General features: G+C 53.5%; 1 protein-coding gene across 98 annotated transcripts in view, besides 3 other annotated features; it reads left to right on the top strand.

Annotated features, from left to right (window-relative positions):
* Nucleotides 6,787-7,986: an enhancer, noted in NCBI's record as "MED14-independent group 3 enhancer chr1:21996570-21997769 (GRCh37/hg19 assembly coordinates)". NCBI's record gives its function as "activates an origin of replication core promoter dependent on BRD2, BRD4, P300/CBP and CDK7 cofactors, and independent of MED14, by STARR-seq in HCT116 cells {active_cell/tissue: HCT116}" and the evidence as "EXISTENCE:reporter gene assay evidence [ECO:0000049][PMID:35650434]".
* Nucleotides 8,635-8,784: a silencer, noted in NCBI's record as "silent region_387". NCBI's record gives its function as "represses an Ori minimal core promoter by ATAC-STARR-seq in GM12878 lymphoblastoid cells {active_cell/tissue: GM12878}" and the evidence as "EXISTENCE:reporter gene assay evidence [ECO:0000049][PMID:35858748]".
* Nucleotides 8,706-17,390, top strand: part of RAP1GAP (RAP1 GTPase activating protein) — a 73,137-nt gene continuing 64,452 nt past the window's right edge. For 48 of the 98 annotated variants that reach the window (NR_170911.1, NR_170915.1, NR_170909.1 and 45 more), the window contains exon 1: nucleotides 8,706-8,809. The gene's annotated coding sequence lies outside the window, so the exon portion shown is untranslated. Of the gene's footprint in view, nucleotides 8,810-9,469; nucleotides 9,553-10,239; nucleotides 10,466-12,745; nucleotides 12,853-17,390 lie in introns of all 98 variants that reach the window. The other 50 variants (NR_170903.1, NR_170908.1, NR_170920.1 and 47 more) reach the window with 7 other exon arrangements.
* Nucleotides 11,505-12,005: an enhancer, noted in NCBI's record as "H3K4me1 hESC enhancer chr1:21992551-21993051 (GRCh37/hg19 assembly coordinates)". NCBI's record gives its function as "activates a minimal SCP1, AML or CMV promoter by ChIP-STARR-seq in primed H9 embryonic stem cells {active_cell/tissue: H9 hESC(primed)}" and the evidence as "EXISTENCE:reporter gene assay evidence [ECO:0000049][PMID:30033119]".

The raw sequence follows: 17,390 nt of genomic DNA, 5'->3' as shown, positions 1-17,390 counted from the left end.
CATTTGGTAAAATTCTAACTTCGTGTTTGTGTTTCCCCTCTGTGTTTCTAATGTCTTCAGTCTGTGTCCCCTGAGGAGGCAGGGGGTCTCTAATGAGCCTATCTATGGGGGAAGGTGAGAGCTGCACACAGCCCCCTGAGAAACCATCCTAGGAGTGGAACCAAGGGACCAACTGTTCTGGCCTTGAGGTTGGCACAGGGGAAGGACTTGAAGTTGAGCTGATGGATCCTGATTTTTAGATCTCATTGTTTTATTAGCTCCAAAGAAATGAATGCAGGAGCCTAAAACTAATAACACAAACTTCTTCTTTCCCAAGGTAAAGACTTTTATAAAAGTTCGCACAATGCTTGATTGAAGCCACTTCCTTTTCCTTACAAAGAAGCTTGTTGGCCAGAGAAGGTTCTTTTTGGGGATTGACATAAACATGTTAGCAGCCCCCAGAAATCTGATATATTTTCCCCAATTTGCTGTTGATAACAGTTTTGAAATTTGTTACTTGGGTATTTTTTCCTCCTGCAATGCTACGAAATAACAGCCTTTTGTAAATCTTTCAGGCTGGTGGTACCTGCTCTGAGTACTGGCTTCTTTATTATCTCTGTCCAGGGGTGGGGTGGGCACCGAGTGAGCAGGTGATGCTGCAAGAGTCTGCCCTTGGCTCAGGGTCATCTTCCTCCTGCTCTGACAACTTGCCTTGTTCTGCCAGCACTGCTGAAAGTAACTGCAGCCCAGCGGCTCCAGTGACACTGTGAAGCTTTATTACCAAGGCAGGAGCTCAGGCCCTAGACCCGCTGAATCGGAATCTGCATCCACAGGCCACTCCTGTACTCTTTGAAACCCTGGGCTTGGGGCCTCTCCCACCCATAGTAGGCAGAGTTGCAAAGAAACGTATGCTTGTATTGAATGGTTTTGCATTGCCACCCTTCTCACTTGGTACAGGGAAAAACAGGTAAAGGGTATGACCTAAAGCCCGATTCTCGTTTCGTCTGTAATTATGAATAGATGGAGTCCATTTGCCTTCTGGACTGTGAAAAGTTCAGAGACTCTTTGTGTTGGGGTTCTAATGCCATGCATGTGTACTTTTTTATATTAGATCAGTCTCCGGTATAAGGTATTATGAAGCTTGGGTCTTTTCCCCTTGATATTTCTGACCATTCTTTAATCTGAAACGAATGTGTTCAGCATACTACACTGGTACAGATTGTCACCACGAACTGAAATATAGGCTGCATTTGGGTGTCTTCATTTCCTGGGGAGTAAGTATCTTTCTGTGTATTTATGAACTCTATTGTTTAGAATTACTGTTACCTTCCTGCCAAATTTAAAAGATATGAGTGTCCCTTTATTTCTGTGGGAGCATAATCCATAGTGAATTTTTTGGTTATTTTAAATGTGCTTTTGGTTGGTCTATGTGGTCATAGATCTGTTCATCAGACTCTGGTTAATATTGGAATCTAATGCTCAGGTTGAATAACCTGTTTTAAAAACCCAAGGGATGATTTATCTCTGTCTAAACAAACCGCTGAAGCGAAATGAGCAAGAAAGCCTGTCTTTCCTGTTACCGAATCATGGGGCAGAATCATATCCTTTCTCTTGGGTACTTTAGTCCTCAGCTCATTCAGTGTTAATAGGGGACTGCGAACAGAGTGCATGCAGATTAAAAGCCAGCGTTTTCATTTTAAGAAGATTTTCCCAGCCTGAGAAACATAGTGAGACTTCATCTCTATAAAAAAGCAAAAATTAGCCAGGTATGCCGGTGGTCCCAGCTACTCTGGAGGCTGAGGCAGGATAATTGCTTGACCCCAGGAGGTCGAGGCTGCGGTGAGCTGTGATCACACCACTGCACTCAGCTTGGGCGACAGAGTGAGACCTTGTCACAAAAAAAAAATGTGCATGTCTGTGATAACGCCCCATACTCCCACCCCCACCCCAGAGTACAGGGTTTTGTCAACAACATTTCTACTTCTGAAAGCTGGCATCACCACCCCCACCCAAAACACACACACACGCGCGCGCGCACACACACACACACACACACACACCCATCTCCTAGACATTCTGTAGGCAGAAATACTGGCTGGGGATTTATCAACATTATTCGAACCCTCTATTTTTCATTAAAGTACAAATTATAAACATTTGTAAAATGGTAGGTAGCACTTTGTTGATTTCCCTGAGCAACATTTCTGTGTCAGGTAGTGTGTGCCAGGTAGACAGTCTCATTGGCAGACAAAACCACTTCTCCATCCCATATATCTCAAACCTTGGATTTTTTTTTTTTTTTTTTTTCCATTCTGGCTGTTAATTGGGCTAAGGAGTCTGCTAGCTATCCAGATAGCACATAAACATACAGGCAAGTGTTGAAAGTGTGGAGTTGTAGAAGTTGGGCCACCTGTGTTACAGATAATTTCACCATTTACCTTGTAACCAAGAAAAGTGACTTAATCTTGCTTTACCTTAATTTCTTCATCTCTCAAAATAGCAGTATTTGCTATTTTTGTTTACTACACTCAGAGGATTAAACAGTAATAAATATTGTTGAGGTAAAAGGCTTTGTATTTTTCTTTGCATTTAGAAGAACTGTTGCCTTTCTGAGGAAATGCTGTTGGAATCTCTTTTGCAAGTCTTCAAAAAGAGGCCTTGTAACCACCTAGCAAAGCTACCTGGAGCATCTTCTCTGAGAACTTTAGAAACTACCTTTTACTTCAAGCCCTTCCAACTAAAATGATAACTAGACAGGTGTTCGACCATCCTGTCACATAAATCTTTTCTCCTGGCCCATAAGAATAATGAAGCCAATGGCCAAACTGCAAGCCTTCTCAATTCGGTGTTTTTTTTGCAGGGTCATGTCGAAAGGTATTTGAAACACGCTTAGAATGCATGTTGAAGATTTATGTCTCCGTGATGGGCAGTTTCTGCCCCAAAGGGGCAGCTTCAGTTGTTTTGATTGTCATTGCTAAGAACATCAGGAACAGATGTCTCGAGCTGCCGAGGCATGGCTCTGCGGGCACTGGGAAGCAAAGCCATGCGGAGGCCTGTGGCTGGTGCTCAGAGGTCACTTCCTGGTCTGAGAATTGCGTTTTTCATTATTTACCTGGTGATACTTAGTGAATAATATCGTTCAAGGGTAGAGTACACGAAACAGGTATTTCTTACGTCTCCCCTCCCCCAACAAATGACAGAACCAGTTATCAAATAAATACAAGATACTAACCATGTGAGATTTCTGCATGTGGTAAGGTTTAATATCTCTTTGAGCCTCACTAGATTTTAGGAAGGAGGAGGTTGCAGAATTGTGGCTTGCCAGGAGTTGTATGACCTCTTCAAAGTGACATTAGTTTAACTTTGTTTTATTTTATTTTAATTTTTGAGACTGAGTCTTGTTCTCTCACCCAGGCTGGAGTACAGTGGCACAATCTCGGCTCACTGCAATCTCCGCCTCCTAGGTCCAAGCGATTCTTGTGCCTCAGCCTCCCGAGTAGCTGGGATTACAGGTGCCTGCCACCACGCCCTGCTAGTTTTTTTGTTTTGTTTTGTTTTTGTTTTTTGTTTTTTTTTTTGAGGTGAAGTCTTGCTTTGTCACCAGGCTGGATTGGCTCACTGCAACCTCCACCTCCAGGGTTCAAGCGATTCTCCTTCCTCAACCTCCCAAGTAGCTGGGACTACAGGCACGTGCTACCACGCCCAGCTAATTTTTGTATTTTTAGTAGAGACGGGATTTCACCATGTAGGCCAGGATGGTGTCGATCTCTTGACCTTGTGATCCGCCCGCCTCAGCCTCCCAAAGTGCTGGGATTACAGGCATGAGCCACCGCGCCCAGCATTTTTGTATTTTTAGTAGAGATGGGGTTTCACCATGTTGACCAGGCTGGTCTCGAACTCCTGATCTCAAGTGATCTGCCCACCTTGGCCTCCCAATGTGCTGGGATTACAGGCATGAACCACCGCGCCTGGCCTGGTTTGACTTTAGAATTGGGACCTGCACCAGCTTGTAGTGGATTGGGCCTCTGCTGTGTCTCACCCAGCAGAGACCAGACCAAGGTTGCTGCAGAAGGGGATCCTACTGCGGAATGGGCTGCATCCCACAAGCAAAACACGGGTGGCAGGCTGGTCCTTCTCATTCCATGAGCTTTCACGCTTGTCATTCATGAGGCTGTGAATTCCCCCTCAAGTTAGCCCTAAGAGCTTGTCCAACATAATTACTGTATTGATCTCAAATAGAGGGCATCATCTGTTTCTCCCCAACATGCTTTAAAAAAAAGGGAAAAAAACCCTGCTTTCAAGGACTTGGAGGGCCTTTGAAGTGAAATTGCTCTCGGACAGGGAGGGAGGCAGCCTTATAACAGCAGCTGGAATGGCTGCTTGAATTCCAAATCTGCGTTAGTGCTGCCAGGCGAGGCAGGCCCTCAGCCACAGGAAGTGGGGCACGCACTCCAGGGAGGCCAGGAGGCCGACGCAGCCACTGCCTGGGTTGGATTGTTGCCTGCTGGCACACTGGCCTCTGCACAATTCTATCTGGGTTTTCCTTTCCCTGGTGCTCTGGTGTTTTGTAACCAAGGGAATGCTAAGCTGCAACCAGTTCCTTTTATGATCCTGGACAAGTCTGTTCCCCTTTGAGCCTCGGCGTTCTCTCTGAAAGGAAGTGGGATGTGTAGAAGTTGTCAAACATGAACTCCGTGGAAGTAGATAGTGGGGCCTCCTCCCACACCCACCTACTCCCTTGAGGAAGCTCCAGGCAGTACATTTGGAAAGCTACCAAACAGGACTACCTCTCAGGACTTCTCTTGTTTTATTAGTCTCTGAGCTGCCTCTTTGGTTGGTTTATCTGGAGTTTTTGTAGCATCTTCTCACTCATCCACAGCATGTCACTTGTTCTCTGGATGAAGGAGGCTCCAAGTCATGCTAGACTGTGGAGTTCTGGAACTAGAGTATACTGTTTATTTCCTGTACTGGAAGCCAGAGTTAGGGCCAGGCTGGATTTTATGTCTGCACCTAAAACCATTCAGTCCCCCACAAATGAATCAACCTAATTAGTGCTAGACTGTTGTAGCTCCCTGAGAGCAGGGCTCTGGCCATCTTACCACTGTATTCCCACAGCGGCCCGCATGATACATCCTCAGTAAGGAAAAATGAATGACTACTTTGGAATCTGTTAGAAGTTTTCCCGTGGCCCCTTGGGGGAGAGCTCTTTTTACTACTTTGGTTTGACCAGTACTGTCCCTACCTTCAGGCTTTTCTTCTTTGTCCTCAAAACAGGGACTTCCTAACTATTCATGATCCAAAGTCCTCTAACCCCAGGGGTAGTCTCTGTCATGTCTGCTGCACCAGGTTGGCAGCCTCCCACCCAGACGGGGGCCGCTGGCCCTTCCCTGATGCGTGTGCCCTGGCGCCGACTGCCACTCTTCATCCTGCCTTGCTGTGGTTAGAGTGGAACTGTCCTCTGCTCCAAGCCGCCCCTGAAGCCCACCCTCCTTGCCGGCCTTTCCTAGACCTTACCTGTGGCTCTGTGGACAGCACACCTTGAGGACTTGCTGCTTTGGGGTTTTCTTCCCCTACTTGCTCTGGTGGGCAGTTCCTATCTCAGTTTTTCTCCCATTTGATCTGACTGGGAAGGAGTGGGCGGGCAGAGATGGGGAGTTATTTCCAAGAGGCATCATTCCCATTTTAGGACTGTTCCCCCCTCCCTCACCTGCAGTCTCATGCATTATTTGGAGTTTACCGTGGTGCCACCCATGTTTTCGTTCTCCAGCCTTTTTGGATGCCAGATTTTTAAAGCCAGCTTTCATTTCTCAGTGATAGGGAGCACAGAGATGGTGGCTGGGTCGCAATGTATTAAGTGTCTGAGACAAGGCTTGTGCCCAGAGGCAGCCATGCGTGAGTGGTCAGTCCTGAGTGGTTTGGATTGAAATAGGACAGGGAAAGCAAAGCTCCGGGGCCTTTGTCCAATCTTCCCCCTCAGTAGCTAGGCTGCATGCCAAGCTCTGTGCCCAGCCCCCTACGGCACGTGCTGCCTCCTCGCCAGGGGCCCTGACAGTCTCAGAATGGTGCCCCCCAGGACACATGGGAGATTATAAGCCTCTTGCATTGAGGGAGGTTTTCTGTAAAGGGGAAAATGCTGTAATTGAAAAGCTCCTTGATTATAAAGAAGAAATAGAGACGCCTGGCATAGAAGAGACTTCGTTCTTTGGTCTGCTCAGCCAGGGTCGGGGACATTCAGTACCCCCAGGCTAATAGGCTCTTGAGCTCTTAAGGACCTTGGAGTCTGCAGGTCCAGACTCCAGAAGGTTATGGGACCATGAAGAGGTCACACAGCTGTACCCCTTGGCTTGCTGCATTTCTGCATCTCCAGTGCCTCCATCTGCCCCCTCCCTCCAGCTCAGGTGGGACACCTTTGTCTCCACTCAGCACTCTGGGATGTACCATCAGCAATGCCTGGCCAGAATTGAGGGTCTCTGTCTTAAAGCGTGGAGGAGAAAGGGGCCCTTTTGGAACAGGAGTTAGGGAAGCAAGAAGCATGAAGATTGTGCTCAGAATTGAATTCAGGGAGCAATGCATAAAAAAGCGAGAGGATGGGTAGAGAGATGGTGCTTAAAAGGATCCTGGAATCCATGTACTTCTGAGATCTGTGAGCCCCGCCCCTGCTGAAGATGAGCCAGCCCCACCCAGTACATGCTGCCCTTGAAGGTCTATAGGCATTCTGCTGGCATTTCCTAAGTAGGATGTATTTGACCAAGCATCTCCCAGGACCAGAGCCCTGCAGGACATACCTGTCTAGGGCAGTTGCTATGCCCCACAGTCCCTTCACCATCATCCCCAGAAGCGCCTCGGCCAGCCTCATTCAACTTCTTGCCTTTTTATTACAGTGTTTGAGCCAACTATATAGTCCTGGTGTATTCCTAGGCAGGAGATCAAAGGGCCCCCCGGGTTGGGTGGTCCATGAGTGAGCATGTGATACCGCAGGAGTCTTCCTCCTGCCCTGACAACTTGCCTTGTACTACCAGTGCTGCTCAGGATGTCTGCAGCCACGAAGCTTCATTATAAATGCAGGAGCTCAGGCTCCAGGCCCACTGAATCTGAATCTGAGTCTACAGACCGCTCCTGCACTCTTAGAAGTTTGAGAAACCCCCCTGGGCTGGGGTCTCTTTCCCATATACAGCTAGGGAAGCTTGCTGGAGGGAGGACTGAAAAGAACAAGTGCCTGATCTACCTTCCCCTCTGCCCTTTCACAGGTGGGTGGATGCGTGGGAAGAGGGTGGGGCATTTCCTGCTATTCCCCCTTATTCACCTTTTCTCCACGGGGATTAGAGTCTTGACCGGAAAACATGGCTCTGGTCCCCAGCCCCTATGGGACTGAAAACCCGGAGGCTTGCATGTCTCAGATCCTCCAGAGGCTGATGTAAGAGTTGCTGAAGACCTCGGATCTTTCCTTTTGTGAAATGCAGCCCATGTGGCCGGGAAAATAGTGGGAGCTGGAAGTAACAGTTGTGGTTTTAAGCACACAGTAGATGCTCAAGAAATATATTGAGTACATGTCTTGGACTTTCCCCTCCCTAAATATTATCTGTCAAGTGGGCCTATTGGACTTGTTGACCTTGGAGGGCCCTGTCGGCTTGACCCACCAATTCGAAATGGTTGAGAAAGAGGTCTGTCTTTGTACCTTTTGCAGCCTGTTTTCCCAGTTCTTAGAACATTGGGGTGAGATCCAGAGATTTCAGAGATCCCCCTGGAACACGAGTGTTCTGTGACGAGTTCATGACCTTGGAGCCACCAACCATACCCCTCACCCGTTGTCCCCAGTTCTGGCCTTGCCGACCCACTGCGTGTTTCTTTGCTTCATGTGGGCTGTTCCCCGGGGAGGGAGCTCAGTGGAGAACAGAAAGAGGTGTGGGTGAGGGCTCCCCCTTGGTGGGGAGTGGGGCACAGGAGCCTCAGGCTCTGTTGACCATCAAAGAAGGGACTCGAGTGGGCAGGCCGCTCACTTGCTGTGGACCTTGGGCAAGTCTCTAACTCTCCCTGGGCCTTGGAAGTCAGGCCGAGGTGATCTCTGCCGCCCCCTCCCTGCCTGGGTTTTCACTCTTGTTCTGATCCCACTCTCTTCCGGGTGCCTCCCTTCCACTTCTCCGTAGCCTGTGGCTCCCCTCCCCACACCCGCCCTGGGCCCGGGTTAGGCTGGGGCGGGGGCGAGCTGCCCAGTCCAGAGACAAAGTCCAAGAGCCGCGAATGGGCTGGCGAGGGTCAACCGCGTGGCCTCTGCCAGGAAGCGCGCCGAGCGCCCGGGTGAGGAGGGCGTCAGCCAGGGCACAGCAGCTTTCTCGCCCAGCGAAGCCTGTGCGCCTTCCTCCCGCGCCTGCAGACAAGCGGAGCCCATGGGGGCCGTGGGCCCCACCTATCCCGACGTCTCCACTTGATCCAGAAGTTGTCCCAGTCCCCTTGGAGCATGAGCTGTTGCCTGGACAGCTGGGCTGTCGCCCAGGTTCTGCCACTGTCTAGCTGTGTAACCTTGAGCCAGTCCCTGCCCCTCTCTGGTCCTCAGTTTCCCCACCTGTAAAATGGGGGCACCGAGAACCCTCCTCCAGGACCTGCGGCGGGGCGGGGCGGCAGGGCGGGGGCCTCCCCGCCGCTCCCGCGCCCGCGGCTTGGGCTCCGCAGTGAGTGGGGAGCGGCGCCGGGGAAGGAGCGCTCCGCGGTCATGTGACGTCCCCCTCCCCGAACTGCGGCGGCGGCGAGCGCCGGCCGCATCTGAGCAGAGCTGCAGCGGCGGCCGCGGGCACCAGAGTGCCGAGCCCAGGACGCCCCCGGCCCAGGCCCTTGGGTGAGTGCGCCCCGCCAGGGCTGCGGCCCTGGAAAGGGGAAGGGGACAGAGGTGTCCAGACTCCCGTCGGCTCGCAGCGAAGACCCCGCGCGGGCGGGCGGGGACGGAGGGTGGGGGCGAACGCGTGGGGGACCCGGGTCTCCAGGGGCGAGGGGTGGGCGCAGCTGGGCTCGCGCAGCCCGGTCTTGACAGCAGCTGGAGAAGTGGGGGGAGGCCTGGACTGAGCCGGCTGAACCCCCAGCCTGTTGGACTTGGTCCAGGCCGCGGCCAGGGGGCTTTGGTCCCACCCCCCTGGGTGGGTGGGGAGTCCAGTTTTCCGCCCACCTCGAGGTGGGGGCGCCTGGGGTTTAGAGGAGGGACTGTGGGAAGTGGGCGCGTTTCCTCCATCCCTGGGGAGGGGCCCAAGCCCTAGCGCCCCCCAGAGGGTGGCGCTCCTGTCCTCAGAGGAGGGAAGTGGGGGCCTCAGATCAAGGACCCTGAGCGGGGAGGGCGGTGATGTCCTTGCATCCCCAGAGACAGGACGCATTCCCCTGTCCCTGACCCCCGCGGCAGAGCGGGGCACACGCGTCACGAAGTTGGGCGCCCCCTCGTCGCCTCCCCTGGCTCGGCAGGATCTGAGGACTCGGTGGGAATTCACGGGGCGGTTTCCGTGCCCTGCAGGGTTTGGTGCCAGCTGCGGGGCGCCTGGGCTTGGGGAAGAAACCTTGTGTACGCACACCTGCACACACACACAGTCTCCGGAGGTGAGCGGCCCCCTCCCTACCATAACAGACCCCAGCCTGTGCATGCCCTCGGAGTCCTTGTTGGGGTCATAGCACAGGCCCGGTGGTGGGGTCAGGAAGAACATCCACTGTTCTCAGGGCTCATTGGCCTCTGTCCCCGGGCTCCATTCCCCTCCCTGCCAAGTCAGAGGTCAGGCCCCTGGGGCGGCAGGCAGGAAGGACACTGAGGGAAGGGGCACTGAGGCAGGAGGGGCACTGAGGGAAGCTGGCCAGGTGGAAGTAGGAGAGAAAGGCAATGGGGGTGAGATGGTACCACTTCCTCCCCATATGAGGCTCTCAGGAGGCTCCTGGCCCCCCCTGCACAGGTAGTGGTCCCTCCTTCCTGAGGGTGTTTGGGGGAAAACGCTATGGTTGGGGCACTGGGGAAGGTTGCCTCGCAGATGAAACAGAACATTGGCCAAAGGTGTCCCTGAATGGGCTTCTGGACTGGCACAGGGCCCTGAGGGCTGTGGCTGAGTGGGGAGGCAGTGATCAGGTCCAGCTGGCCATGGGGGCCCCCCATTCCCTTCTCCATGACCTCAGCCTCACTCTGAGAGCCCCCAGCAGCTGGAAGGTCTGGTAAGGGGTGCGTGTTCCTTGATGGCCTTGGGAAGGGTTCCAGGGTAATGATTAATCCTCAGGTGGCACGAGCAATTTCCCCCTTCACAGCAATATTTCAGGGCAGGCGCTGAAGCCTCCATTGCACAGGTGAGGAAACTGAGGCTCGGAGAGGCTAAATGAACTGCCTGAGGTCACCTAGTCACCTTCAGCAAGGTCTAGAATCGTGGTACTCTGACTCTTGATGGGAGAAGATCTCCACAGCGGTGGAGAGGAGGAAGGGTGAACGCCGTGGTGGAGTGGTCCATGTGGACCTGCTCCCCTTTGCTGCCAGGAGGTGAGGGTGCCTGTGGCTGGAAGCTGGGTCAGGTTGAGGAGAGGGTCCAGAGTCCTAGGCTTGCCTTGCCACCCCTTCCCATGGAGGGAGGGTTGTCCCGTGGAGCACCATAATGGTGCTTTCACCCTGGGACCTTCCCAGCTTGCTTGGGCAAAGCCCTCTCCTCTTCTCTTCTTCCCAAGGTGCCTGCCTGGCAGGGGTCTCAGGAGGCCCCTCTCCTGGCTCTAACTACCTTCCACCCTTAGGAGACAAGAAGGATTCTTCCTTTGGCCTCTTGGAGGGCAGCAGGGAGAGAGGTCTCTGCCACTTAGGCCTCAGGCTCCCACAGCAGGGCCTCCACCTCCCTCTCACCTGGCCCTGCCCCTGCCCTGCTGTCAAATTCTGGGGCCAAGAGGCCCTTTGAGGACTCCTCGGGCAGATCTGTCCTCCATGCTGCCATCTGTCTACGGAGGCCTTTGTCCTGGCTGTCAGAGGCTGCTGAGCAGCCGCATGTGCTGTGCAAACAACCGAGACCTGAGCACGGCCAGACACAAACGCAAATACAGTTAGACTGACAGATACCCTGAGACCCAGACACAGGAACACACGGGCACACCCAGGCCAAGACCCCTGCCCCCGACTCTGCCTGACACACAAGCACTGAGAGTCACACCATCCAGATGCTGGCACGTGTGTACACACAGAGAGACGGAGGTTGTCAGCAAGGAGAAGAGCCTTTTCAGAAGCCCTCGTCTTCTGTCGTCTGCCTCCATTATCTCCTCCAGGGTGCACACATGGTACACGCGCATGCAGGAAGAACACGAGGATGCCCTACGCCCTTAAAAATGAACCTGGCAGACACGCACATGCACCCACCCACACCCAGGCCATCATGGGTGCACACACGCATGAATTACATCAGCTTCCTGCGTGTGGGATGTTAATGCTTCATCACCCGGGGAGGGGAGTGGAGGCCCCCGACCGTCCCCAGCAAAGCCTCCCCTTCCTCCCTCTTTTCTGATTCATGTGGACCCAGCTTGACTGGCCCCAAGAATCCTGGGAAACTGCCTGGTGCTTCCCACTCAGTGGACCCTCCTCTCCTGCCTCCCCTCTGTGTACATACCCAGCGGGTTGCCACGGGAGCCTCTCCCCAGGCTGCTCCTTTGCTGTCTCTGAAGGTGTTGTTCTGCAGGTCCTTCCCAAGACAGGACAGGACCCAGTGCAGGCTCCAAGCGGCTCTGGGGTTCCCTTTCCTTTCCACTTTTGCTAGAGGCATTACCAGGCCCCAGTTTCTGCTTTGTCCTCCCAGCAAGGCTGGGGGCCAGCTGGTGTGAAGGGAAGGGAGCCCTCAGCACTCTCTGCTCACCTCCTTGCATGCCAGGACCTCTGCCAGGCTGGCCCTGGCACCCTGTGCCTCTGAGAGACTGGCGCTGTGGAGAGGTGCTTCTGTGGGCTTAGGTGAGGCCTCCAGGGCAGACATGCTAGATGGGGAGGGGCTCCCAGCTCCACCATGCTCCCTCGGCACTCACACCAAGCCTGCCAGAGTGCTGATTCCCTGTCCAAGCCTGGCCCTGCCTCTTGCTGGCTGTGTGGCCCGGACAAGTCATTTTCCCTCTCTGGGCCCAGCTCCAGCTCTGGGAGGCAGCTCAGCCTGGCTGGGGGATGAGGAAAGTCAGAGGTGTGAGGTGGCAGCCCTGTGCCAATAAGGAAAGGAAGTTGGGCTCTGGTGGCAGTGTGGGCCCATGGGGCCCCAGGCTGATGACTTCCTGCAGAGTGCAGCCTCTGGATCCACACTAGGGCCAAGCAGGGGTCGCCAGTCTCAGGGCTTCTTGGGGCGGCCACCCTGGGGTCAGCCCAGGAGGAGGGTACCCAAGGGCAGTGGGCTGCAGCTATGTTGCTCACATTTGTGGACATTTTATGCCTCAAAATGTGCTCTATATTTAGGGCTAAAGACCAGCACTGTCAGGCAGGTGGTGACTCAGAGAGGAAGAAGGGAAAAGAGGCAGAGGAGTGCTGGTGGGGAGACACCCCAAAACAGAAAGGTCCCACTGGGATTCCAGCCTTTCCTACTGCAAGAAAGGAAGCAAAACATGATACTCCTGCTTTGCACCAGCACAATGGGAGCAGCCTCGTGTGCCTACTCACTAAGCATTTAATGAGCATGTAGTGGATCCCAGGGACTGTGACAGGCACTGGGGCACAGAGATGAGCTGGGTCCTGTGGTCCCTGCCACAGCCCGGTGCTTTGTGTCAGATGAGGAGGTGAGGCTCAAAGAGAGAAAGTGACTTGCCCACTCTACAGGTTAATACCTCTGCCAACCGAGGCCACCCTCCCTCGGACCCCCATTCGGAGGAAGCAGACCCAAGTTCGAATTCTGACATTGCCACTGAGCAGCCGTACAACTTTTGGTGAGTTCCTCTCTCCCTCTGAGTCTGTTTCTTGATCTAGGAAGTGGGAATCATAGCACTTGCCTGATGAGTATGTTTCAAGGGATAAGAAGGTGAATGCAAGCAAACACTGAGGGCAGTGCCCAGCTTATCCTAGGCATTCTGCTGGGTCTAAAAGGACATAGATTGGGAGTCCTCAGAATGCCAAATCCAGTCTCTGCTGTGTGACTTTGGAAAAATCACCTGCCTTCTCTGTGCCTCATTTCTTTCTCCCTAGAACGGGGATGACGAGCTTTTATTTGCCTGCCTCCCTGGGGATGTTGTTTGCGAGGCCAGACATACTGGCTGGGAACTGCTTTGAAAAATATAAAGCTGCACTCAGAGAAACACAGAGAGACACACTGAAGGAAAAGCAAACACAAATCTGGAGAAAAATCTTTTCTAAAAACATCCAATACTTCTCTACAGCCAGAAAAAAAAAATAATAAGCCTTTTCTTCAGTGTTTTGAGAGTAGTGAGAATTTTTTCCGTAACTTCGCATTTCCAAAGTAGTTGGCATGGCTATCACCAGGTGAGCTGGGTAAGTTTCCTCCTTGAGGAGTCCTTGCCTGGCACATATTAGGTGTTCAGTAAGTGATAATGTTAGTAGTAGAATTACCAGTTGCACAGCAAGAGGAGAAGTGGAGGCGCTCCTGGAGGCGAGACCAGCTACGGCGTGGGCAAGGGCTGGGGGTGGCAATGTGGACACTGGGTTGGATTCATGGAAGGTGGGGGTAGGGACAAATCGGGGTCAGTCTATTAAGGGCCTTGAATGGCAGGCCGAGGAGTCTGCATTTCCCCAAAATCAATGCAGGATACACGGGAGGGGCAGGCTGAGCCCACTAGCCTGGAATGAGGAACCACCTGGCGTAGTTCTCTGCCCTGCCACTGCTGTGTAAGGATGGCCCCCTCGCCTGTTTCCCTGGGCCTCATTTTCTCCCAGTGTGCAAAGGAGAGGATTCCAGCCTCTTCCATCCCAGGGGCAGGCAAGAGGATCAAGGCACCAAGCCACCCGGGAACTAGGTTGCTATGAGAGCTGGAGAGCCGGGGGCTGTCATTGGTTCAGGAAGTCAGGAACCTTGTGTTCCGCTTCTGGCCCCACCCCACTAGCTGGGTGAGCTCAGGCAAGCCGCCCGGCCTCTTTGAGCCTCCCTTTCCATCTGTGGAATGGGAGGATGTAGTTTCTGTCTTTGCAGTACAGCTCCCATGAGTTGAAGCTGGTGACTGTGTTGTGTGAGCCTCAAGTGTGTTGTTGTATCTCTGGGGGAATTGCAGTATTTCTTGAAACTACAGTACCTGTTCCTCAGACTCCCCTGAGACGGTGGATCTGCTGGCAAGGCTGGGGTTTGGGGGCAGTGGGTGAGGATCAGATGCCTGAGCCACCTCAGAGGCTGTGACCTTCTCAAGGCCACGGGAGCCATGTGTCTGCCGCAGCCAGGCTGTGGGGGCAGCAGAGGGAAGGTGGAGGTGGGGCAGATGGGTCCAGCCCTCTGCTTGGCTCCTGAACTCTGGGCCCCAGTTCTGCGAGGGAAAGCCACCCCAGTACCCTGCTCAGAGGACAGCCCTCTCCAAGGCCTCACTCCTTGATTCAGGGCTCGAGGGGTAGGGTGGAGGTGGCTGATGGAGGGTGACCTTGGGAACTTCTTCCTGCCTGCAAGCTCGGTGCCAGAACTGCCAGGGCAGCCCTGATTCTTCTTGCTCAAAAGTTGGCAGCGTCAGGGACCCTCGAGAGGCTGCCAGGACAAGGCCTGAGCTGATGTCACCATCACCAGCCTCTTGCGTCTTCCCCTGTGTTGGAGGTCCAGAGAGAGGCCATCCACCCGCTGGCAGACTGCTGTAGGCACTGTGCCCACCCGGGCAGCAGGCTCAGGATGCCATGGGACTGAAGACTCTAGCCTTGCCTCATTCACCACTTGCCTTTCACTTGAGGTGTGGGAGCTCTGCCAGGGATAGAGGGTTGCCCTTACAGCCCCTCTCCCAGGGCTCCCTGCCTCTAGAAACAGGACTGGGCAGAGCCGCTGGGACAAAGACCTCACCTGTCCGAGTCCCCAAAGCCCACAGCCCTCCCTGGCTGGAGAGGTGTGGGCTCTGTAGTCCTCCGAAGGGCAGAGAAGCCTGGGTCCTGCACAAACTCTACAATGCTGGGCCCACCCAATGGCAGTCAGGGTGGGAAGTGGGCAGCTAGCTCAGGAATTCTAGGAAGATTCTGGATGGGGGGAGGCATGATGGGGCCTGAGCAATTGGATGCAGGTGGGGGCATTCATTGAGCACTTGCAGTGTGCTGGGCCCTATGTAAGCACTTTTCATGGATCTATCTCATTTAATCCTCTTAGCAACCCTCAAGGGCTCAGAGAGGTTAAATAGCCTGCCCCAGGTCACCCAGCTGGTGAGTGGCTGGGGCTGAGATTTGAATTGAGGGTTGTGTGACTCTACTTTTAGCCATTTCTGTGTACTGCATGCAGAATGAGAAGGGGTTGGGGAGGGCGCCATACAGAATCTGTGCTCTGGGTAATGGGAGCAATTCTGGGCAGGGGCAGGAGCAGGGGTGGGGCTGAGACTTGGAGGCTCACACCTGCAGGACGTGGCCCTGAAGCTTCCAGGCCCTAAAGCTTCCAGCTCCCCCTCCCCATGGCCTATCCCTGGGGCCCAGTGCCCCAGGCTGGCTTGGGGGAAAAGGATGAATGGGGACAACTTTTCAGGGGTTCCTGTGGACACACAGTCCCACAGACCCTGACTTCTCCTGGCCCCCTACGTCTGTGTAAATTCCCAGCTTGGAAACCCAAGAAATCCCCAGCTTCAGAGCTGGGAAGGAGCCCACAGAGATCAGCTGGTCCAACCCCCTCGTTTTACAGATAGTAATTATCATGATTATGCCTGATGGGAGCAATTCACAAAGGACTTTCACATCTGGGTTGCTGCTGAGTGTGCCGGAGCCCTTGGGGCCAGCAAGATTCATCCACATTTTGTGGGTGAGGAAACTGAGGTTCATAGAGGCAAGGAGATGGACCTAGGGGCACACAGTTGACCTTGGTACAGGTCTCTTCCTTCTGAGACCCAGCACCTGTGTGACGTGGCTCTGGGGCTGCACCCTGCATTGGAGTGGGGCTGGTCCTGAGAGGTCTGTATGGGGCCAGGGCAAGTATCAGATGAGGTTCTGAGATTCCCAGTGATGCCTGCCTCCTCCCTGTCACGGGAACACCACGCCCTTCAGTGGCGTGGTCTGGAAGAGACAGACTGGTGGGCAGAGCTGTTTCCAAGAGACTTCTCTGCCCACCATGCACATGGGGGCTATGCTGCCCCAGAAAATCAGATTGAGAAGGGCCCTTGGAGGGGCCTCATTATTCAGAGAAGAAAACTGGGGAGCTGCCCACAGTCACATTGTGAGCCATTGGTGGCACTAGGCTTAGAACACAGATTTCCTGGCTCAGCTCACAGCTGTCCTTGCACGTGTCCAGTAATAGTACTAAAGACAGTCTCCATTTATTGTGTGCCTACTATGTGCCAGGGGTGAGCAGTTTACACTGAATCCTAAGAACAATCCTATGCGGTAAGTACTTTTATTATCATTGCCATCCTCTTTTACAGATGAAGAAGCTGAGGCTTTGAGAGGTTATGAAAATGGACCAAAGTCACAAGCCAGGAAGTGGCAGAGCAGGAATTTAAGCACAGGTCCATGTGATTCCAAACCCATACTGATGCCAGGCCTTATGTATATTATGATAGGACTAAAGTTGACTTTCTGTTTCTTTATGTTCATAGTCAACGTAGGCCATCATTCATTCATTGAACATTTATGGAGTGCTCACTAAAACAAGGAGACTATAGAGCTGATCAGGGTTGAGGGTCAGAGATTAGGTCATGAGGCAGGGAGTCTCAGACACTGCTAAGCTCTCTGCCTCCACCAAGAATGGCTGCGTCTCCCTCCTTTTTTTTTTTTTTTGGAGACAGAGTCTTGCTCTGTTGCCCAGACTGGAGTGCAGTGGTGCGATCTCAGCTCAGTGCAACCTCGGCCTCCTGGATTCAAGCGATTCTTGTGCCTCAGCCTGCTGAGTAGCCAGGACTACAGGCATGCACCACTACGCCCAGCTAATTTTTGTATTTTTACTAGAGATGGGGTTTTGCCATATTGGCCAGGCTGTTCTCGAACTCCTGACCTCAGGCGATCCACCTGCCTCAGTCTCTCAAAGTGCTGGGATTATTACAAGCATGAGCCACCGCGCCCCAGCCATCTCCCTCCTCCTCCTGTCCCCAGCTCAGCCCAACTACATTTGCAGCCTCTTCCTCTGCTTCTCCTGCCCACCTGATTTACCCCTGGGGTAAATGAAGGCATGACTCAGCTAGGGCTCCTGGGCTTTGTGTATCCCAAAGAAGACCCTACTGGCAACAGTGTTAACAGCCACCACCGTGCAAGCCGTTCGTGAGCACAAGGCACCATGCTAAGGTGTCTGTGTGCATCACCTTGTTTAACACGCCATCACTCTGTGAGCTAAGAGCTAGTATCATCTCCATTTTCCAGATTG

Source organism: Homo sapiens, chromosome 1, assembly GCF_000001405.40.
Source record: "Homo sapiens chromosome 1, GRCh38.p14 Primary Assembly".
Taxonomy (NCBI): domain Eukaryota; kingdom Metazoa; phylum Chordata; class Mammalia; order Primates; family Hominidae; genus Homo; species Homo sapiens.
This window is presented reverse-complemented; position numbering and strand designations above follow the sequence as displayed.